Source organism: Homo sapiens, chromosome 17, assembly GCF_000001405.40.
Source record: "Homo sapiens chromosome 17, GRCh38.p14 Primary Assembly".
NCBI lineage: Eukaryota > Metazoa > Chordata > Mammalia > Primates > Hominidae > Homo > Homo sapiens.
In genome coordinates this window covers 51,371,577-51,379,800 of record NC_000017.11, presented here as the reverse complement: position 1 = coordinate 51,379,800, position 8,224 = coordinate 51,371,577, and the positions used below count along the sequence as shown (strand labels likewise).

The 8,224-nt window shown below is 44.8% G+C and overlaps 1 annotated feature.

Moving 5' to 3' along the window:
• Positions 5,639-5,933: a silencer, noted in NCBI's record as "tiled region #484; HepG2 Repressive non-DNase unmatched - State 22:ReprW". NCBI's record gives its function as "represses a minimal TATA promoter and a strong SV40 promoter by Sharpr-MPRA in HepG2 cells {active_cell/tissue: HepG2}" and the evidence as "EXISTENCE:reporter gene assay evidence [ECO:0000049][PMID:27701403]".

Here is an 8,224-nt window from a genome sequence, read left to right as displayed (position 1 = left end):
GGGTCCTGGAATCTACTAAAGCAAAATCAATTACAACCATGCTGAGGGAGGCCAGAGCAGCCCTTTGGCTTTGAGCAAGAGGCAGGTCTCCAGATGAGAAACCTAGCCTTTGAGTGGCTGCTGGTCTTCTCTCTGCTGCCTTGGACTCATGTCACCCTCTGCTCTCTATAAAGCTCCTTTGTCACCTGACTGGATAGCCCTGCCCCAAGACCCACAGTTTGGGACAAGGGGGGACACTGGTCCACACTGGACCAATTGATTCCCTCTCCTAGAAATTGAGAAGTGGGATCCTGAGCCAGATAGCCTCTGAATGTGGCTGGAACAGAAGGGACATTAAAATGGTAGCTGGGGAAAGGGCATCTTCTACCATGTGTTCTAAAAAGCAAGGGAAACCTGTCTGAACAGAAAAAGAAGAAACTGATAGATAAAAAGAAACAGAAACAAAAGACAGTGCAAGACTCTGGCAAGTCTTCAGACCCTGGCCCCAGACCCCCTGACTAGGCATGGCTTCCAGAAGGAACTCTCTCAGTTAAGCCGGCCCAAGCTGGTGTGTGCTGTTTGCAACCAAATATTAGAAATATTATTTTTCTTCAGTTTGGTAAATGTAAGAATAATACCCCATAAATGCATTCAGATGTTTTCTTTTTTTTCTTTCTTTGAGATGGAGTCTCGCTCTGTTGCCCAGGCTGGAGTGCAATGACACCATCTCGGCTCACTGCAACCTCCACCTCCCAGGTTCAAGTGGTTCTCCTGCCTCAGCCTCCTGAGTAGCTGGGAATATAGATGTTTCACCACGTTAGCCAGGCTGATCTTGAACTCCTGACCTCAGGTGATCCACCCACCTCAGCTTCCCAAAGTGCTGGGATTACGGGAATGAGCCACTGTGCCCGGCCTCAGTTGTTTTCATTAAGAAACAGGGCCAGGTGCGGTGGCTCACGCCTGTAATCCCAGCACTTTGGGAGTCCTAGGTGGGCAAATCATGAGGTCAGGAGATCGAGACCATTCTGGCTAACACGGTGAAACCCCGTCTTTACTAAAAATACAAAAAATTAGCCAGGTGTGGTGGCATGCGCCTGTGGTCCCAGAGGTGACAGAATGAGACTCCGTCTCAAAAAAAAAAAAAAGAAAAACAACCAAAGAAAGGAACAATATGTTATACAAAATATCCAGAATAGGTAAGTCCACAGAGATAGAAACAGATTGTCGGTTGCCAGGGGGAAGTAGGGCGTGACTGTTTAATAGGCATGGGGTTTTCTTTCGGGGTGATGAAAATTTTTTAGAACTTGATATAACTGCTGGTTGTACAAAATTGTGAATGCACTGAACACCACTGAGTTGTATACTTTTAGATGGTTACTTTTACATTCGGTAAATTTCACCTCGATTTTCCTTAAAAAAAAAAAAAAAGCTTGTTCTACCTATGACTATCAGGAAGGCCCAATAAAGATGCACATTTTGCCAACTAACTTGCTGAAGTACCTAATTCATTTGTCCATTTATTCATTAATGAGAACATAGATACATAGTATTGGCCACTTGCCAAGCACTGTGCTGGGATTACTGTGGTGGCCAAGATAGACATGAATCCTTGCCTTGGAGAGCAAGAGTGGACAATTAGCAAGCTGTAACATTAAAGTACTTGTTTTTGTCCTCCAGCACACATTCTTCCCTTTCTTCCAGCAACAGAACTCTCCTTTTCAACAAATAATGTATTCTCTCTCTGTGATACATAAAGGAGGCTGGTTCTACCCACCCTTTCCAAGAGGTCAGTCAGCCACAATGATTGGTCCGGAAATGGACCCATCCTCCTGGCCACAATGATTGGTTTGGAAATGGACACTTGACCAAAGGTGAACCAATGAGAATATCCCTGGAACTTTTCTACCATTGGTATTCAGAAAGACTCTTCTTTCCACTGATGTTGCTAAGCATGAGATGCTGGGGCCGTCTTGCCCATCATGTGGAGACAACTGGTCCAAGAAGTAGAGAGAAAGAGAGAGGGACCCAGAGCCCTACAATTAGCTGTCCAGTGATATTTCACATTTCCAGTGATGAAGCCAAGAAATTATCTTGCTTTTGTGTTAAGCTAGTTTGAGTTGTGTTTAATCACTTGTATTTAAGATTTTTTTTCATTGCAAGGAGGACAGGGGACTTACTTGATATCGTGGAAGCTCACAACAGGCACATCTATTAGAGCACAGGTTATATGAAGTGCTTTTTCCTATAATTTACATATATATATAGGATTTCAACATTGATTGATTAGTGAACATTTATACTCAAACTGCTGTTGCTATACATCACTTCACTATGATTTCCAAAATGCTTTATGAGACCAAGCACAGTGGCTGATGCCCGTAATCCCAACACTTTAGGAGGCTAAGGCAGGGGGATCGCTTGAGGTCAGGAGTTCAAGACCAGCCTGGGCAACATAGTGAGACCCCATCTCTACAAAAAAAATTTTAAAAATTAGCCAGGCATGGTGGTGCATGCCTGTAGTCCTAACTACTCAGGAGGCTAAGGTGGGAGGATCCCTTGAGCCTAGGAGTTTGAATCTGCAGTGAGCTATGATCATGCCACTGCACTCCAGCCTGGGTGACAGAACGAGACCCTATTTCAAAAAATTAATTATTAATTAATTAAATGTTTTATGACCACTACTGCTTGGGAAACATGACACCACAACATACCATCTCTGAGCCCTTGGAGAACAGTCGGTAAGGGAGCCATTCCTGGGGCCTCTGTGTTTCCAAATCCCTGAGGAAATAGCTGGCCAAAGCCACACAATGGCAGTAGCAGTGCAGGGGTAACCCTCAGTCTCTGGAAGCTCAGAAGAGCCTGAATTGATCATGAACATTTAGCATCCTTCATTACATCCTTCATTCCAGCAGGACTGAGGCTGGTTTCCTAGCAACCCTGCTCCATTCCTGTCCACCCACCCAGAATTGCAGTCCATTCTTCTTCACTAGGTTACTAGAATTACTCCCTGATGGTCAGATTCTCAAAGTCTCCTACCTCCCTCCTCCCTTAACTGCCCCCCCAGGAAGGAAGTTCTCACTATTCATCACACATGACATTTACATACAGCTTCACCATTTATAACATGCTTCCACTCACCTTGCTTCCTCAGATACTCACCGCCACCCTACGAGGTAGGAATTACTCCCTTCAATGTACTGATGAGGAAACTGAGGCTCAATAAAGGAACCAGGATGGGACAATTAAAGAAGAAATCACCCATCTCAACAGACTGCTGTCCACATGATTACTCATAGACTGAACACTCTCCCACCCTGGTTTCTGGGCTTTGCCAGTTGATTCTGTCATCAGTCTCATTGAAACTCTGTGACTCTTGCTATCTTAACTGGCAAGGGACCTGATCCTGCTTTACCTTCCAGGATGCAGTTTCCACATCCTGCCCACATTCCTGGGGACATCTAGTCTCTTACTAGCTGGGTGTTTTGCTTTTCACCCATCACAGACATCTCAGGAGGTCACAGGGTCACAGGCATAGGACAATGGTTGGAAAACACCAAATCCAGGAGGTCTTTTGACAACCTGAAGGTTTAGGTGCCTGTCAGTTATAGCTAATACACAGGTAAACAATAGGGATACACAAAGTAATTCAGGATATGGCTGATGTTTCCAAAACTAATTTGACATTTATGGCAAAAAGAACTTAACCCTAACAGGACTCTGCCCTGGCTCCCTGGGGTGGGCCAGCGAGCTCAGTTCACCAAGGCAGGGGGAACTTCCAGAGAAACCAGAAGCAAAGCAGTGTCTCCAGAAGAAGGTGCTGATTAAGCAGAGGAGGTTGTGCAAACTGTTCAATTCCATTTAAAATTATGAGAAAAAACTCCAGGAGACCTTGTGTCACAATGTCAGCCACAGCAGTTGTCTGTGACAAGGCTGGCCATTCAGAGCCCGGTTACCAAGCTCTGGCAGCAAGAGTTTATCTTACACGATGATATGTGTTTATGTGCATGTGTGTGTCTGTGTGTGTGTGTGTGTGTAGTTTTATGATTGTGGTATATAAAATTGCTGTTTTGCTTTGTTTCTGGTTGTTTTTTGTTTTTTTTTTTTTTTTGAGATGGAGTCTCACTCTATCGCCCAGGCTGAAGTACAGTGGCACAGTCTAGGCTCACTGCAACTTCTGTCCCCTAGGCTTCAAGTGATTCTCGTGCCTCAGCCTCCTGAGTAACTGGGATTACAGGAACTCACAACCATGCTTGGCTAATTTTTGGATTTTTAGTAGAAATGCGGTTTCGCCATGTTGGCCAGGCTGGTCTTGAACTCCTGACCTCAAGTGATCCTCCCACCTCGGCCACCCAAAGTGCTGGGATTACAGGTGTGAGCCACCATGCCTGACCTAAAATTGCTGTTTTTCTAAGACCAAAGCAGCTAGGCCTTGGAAATGTTGTTTGGTTCAAACTAATGTTTTGAAAAATGGAAAATTCCATATTCATGGATGATGTATTCACAACCCTCCTCCGAAAGTTTACTTTTCAAAACCAACAAGCAACACAAAGGACTGATTTGGCTTTCAGTTGATGAGTATGAGAAGTAAGGGCCCGAGGAAGAGTGGGCCGTGCTCTCAATCATGCCCAGTCCCCGGCAGCTCCAGCAGGAGGGATCACAGCCGCCTATCAAAGGCTTCATCTGCTGAAACAAAGCCAGACCCTGCATATTCTGCTCGGAACCCCTATGTGCCTCATTTGCTGGCAAGATGATCTTGTTCTCTGCTTCTGTTTCCCCTTCGTGGACTCTAGCACTTCCTCTGCTTCCCAGCAAGCGTGAAGTCTTCCAGGACTCCGAGCTCAGCCTGCAATTCCACTCCTGGCTTCTCCTACTGCAAGGTGTCTTTTCCTTACCGTACACCCCCTCCCAAACCCTCTTTCCCCCCTACTCCCCATTCAATGCCAGCACACCACAGGATGGCTTTCGTGAATGTTTTTAAATGTCTCAGAAATGTATTACAATGGAAATGTTTGTCATTTTTATCCAGGTCTATTCCCCTAAAAATGTGGGCTGTCTTGAGAAAACTTCAATAAGGCAGGATGCTGCTTTCAGAGAAAAGAGACTCCAGGAGAAGCTGGGAAACTTGCAACCTTATTGAGGAGGACCTGGGGAAAGAGAGGCCTAGGAGATGGCAACCCAATAAGGGGCACAATTGGCCAGAAAAAAGGAGCTGTCCAGGAAGGGATGAACCCTCAAAAGCTACCCATAGGAGTTTTCAGGGCCTGATTCACCCCAGGTGGGCTTCTCCAGGAAAAACATCCCAAAGTCACATACCCTGAGACAGGCAATGCAGCCTTCGGTTCAGATGCTGCTGCTGGCAGTCCTGTGGGAAGAAGGTAGAGACTGAGAAGAGGGAAGGGAAGTGTGCAGAGGAAGTCAAGAAGCTGACGTTACTGGGCATCGGGTACCCACCGACAAGGCTTGTGCAATTTCTCCATTGTTTACAAAGCAGGCATTTCACCAAAACAAGGCTCTTTAGTTTGGTGATGTTATACAAAGAGTGCAATATTTAGGACATATTTATACTAAAATATTGTTCATTGTTTATCTGAAATTCAAATTCAACCTTTGTCCTGTATTTTACTGGCAAACCTAGGAGGGTGGGGAGCCTTCCAGAAGGGATACAAAACCACCTACCCAAGCTGTGATGACAGCCTACCCACACCTCTCCCCCAAGGTGAAACCTACACTACCATCAGCACAGATGAAGGACAGGCTCACATTTGAAAGGGAGAGTCAAGGGGGGTCAGGATGAAGATGCGACAAAGAAGTGCTCCCAGCTCCCTGCATCCAGCCTGGGCTCTGGCCCAGTTCCCAGACCAAGGGTCTAAGCATACATGATGTAAGTAGCTCCTACACCTACCTGTCCATCACCTCCAGGAAGTATTGTATCCCTCACCCTGTGACACCTTCCCCGAAGTACATTTGTGGTCCCTACAGCAACATTTTTAAATTTTAATCTTGACTATGTAAATGATAGCTGTAAATGATTATGCAAATGGTTCACTGTAAAAGAAATGGAAAATAAAGGAAACCCTAAGTGAAAGAGAGAACAAGAGGCAATCCTATTGTGCTGAAATGCTCTCTTGCAGTCTTTTCATATGCATATATGAACTTCTATTTACATAGCTGGCATCATACCATACATTCATGGTTTTCCCTTGTTTTTACTCCAGCTGTTTTTTCATTTGACATCATCCCATTCAACTCAACTTTAGTCAATAAATATTTACCAAATGTCTGCTATAGGCGCCTCACTGTGTGCGGAGCAGTAAACAAGCCTGACACAGTCTCTGCCCTGTGATGCTGTGGTTCAAGGTGGGAGTCAGAGACTGAACCAGGGAGATAAAAAGTGAATTAAATAGTCTCCTACAAAGTCTGCAATATAATTCAATTGTACATTTTGCTTTCGAGGAAATATGTTCTTAGAAATACAGAGAGAATATTTTAAAGGGTTATATTTAAAGTAAATATTTTGTGTATGACTCTAAGTCGTAGAACATTTAAATGAAAATAGGTATTGCCTATTTGAATTTATTTGTGCCTCACGTGAACCCCGAGGCTTCCTGGGATTGCTACTTAACAAAGCACTGTGATGTCTGAAGGGCCAACATGTTCTTCTACCACATGATTTTGGGGTCTGCCTCCAACACTTCTGTGTGACACTTTTGTGTGAATAGACTATAAGTTCTTTAACACGTTATAGATAAACATTTACATTGATTCTAAACATTTACTTTTATAATAACAGAGCAATGAACATCTTTGTGCATGAATATCTGTGTGTGCAAACCTGATTATTTATTTGGGATAAACTCTATCATCCATATAAAGAATGAGTCTGGGACAGAAATTGGCTGGTTATACACAAAACCTACTTCCTCATTCTCCCGGGCACAGGCTAGACTACATTTCCCAGCCTCTTTTGTAGTTAGGGATGGCCACATGACTCATTTCTGGCCAATGGAATGAAGGCGGAAGTGATGTTTCCATCCCCACTGGGCCTGGCTGGAATGCCTCCCGTGTGTGCTCCTCCATGTTCTTTCTACTTCTTGTAAGAATCTGTAGAAGCCACGTGTTGAAAATGGAAGAGTCCCAAGTTGGAAGGAGGTTGGGTGCTTCTATCACCATTTGAGGAAGAATTACCCACTAGCTGATCAGGGATCAGCCATTTTGAACATTACACAAGCAGGAAATGAACTTCTATTGTGGTAAGCCACTGAGATTTTAAGTTTTATCTGTTATAGCCACTAGTGTTAACTAATACAGGAGTCCTGCCTTCACTTCCCCTGCCTGAGTCCAATCCAGGTATGCCCAGCTGGGCATCTCAGGTGGTAGAAATGCCATGGTCCCCACTCAAAGTTTCCTCTCCATTCGTGTATGCACCTATCCACAGGAACCAAGCCCCCAGTCTTTCTCCTGATAGTCTTCCTCCTAGGAATCATCCCAAAAGCTGAGCCTCAGTGGAAGCTGCCCTACCCAGATATCCACCTGGGAAGACCCCAGAGAAAGCCACTGGCTGCCTACCCTGGGATTTGTTTTGTAGCCTCTGCATCTAGAAGACCAGCACCAATTTCTACTCAAGGAACAAAAAGAATCTATACACATCACAGAATAAATAACCCCACAGATTACAAATAACCCATTCTCCAGGCTCACTGGCCTCATTCTATGCCCGGAAACCTCTGTGTCATTTTGTCTCTATGTCTCTTTCATCAGAAAGCAAAATGCACAATGTAGCTCTGTTCTGGGAAGAGCTATGGGTTACTGCAAATGGAAGCGTCTGACTATGACTGCCGGACTGCCTGGAGTTTGGGTCAGCAGGGGATGTCAGCTTTTCAATCCCTCTCTAAAAGCCCCTTCCCCCAACTATGCATTAGGGAGACTTCTCTGTAGCTGGAAGACAGACGCTTAGTGTTCCTTCCTGGAGGCTGCAAGCCCATCCATCCTTGTGCTGTGATTGCCATCTTGTGGCAGAGAGACAACAAGGCAATGGGGGAGGACCCAACCAATGATGAGCCTCCCAAGAGCACCACGAGATGATGGTCAAAATCAGAGTTCCTTTGTCTGCCCCCACCACCCACCACCAAAAAAAAAAAGCGTCCTGCTCTCTGTTTACCATTCCCCAAATCATATGCTTTGGGGATTCTCTGCAACTGGTTTTTTTATTTAGCTATTATAAAAATGATACATGCCCATCATTTAC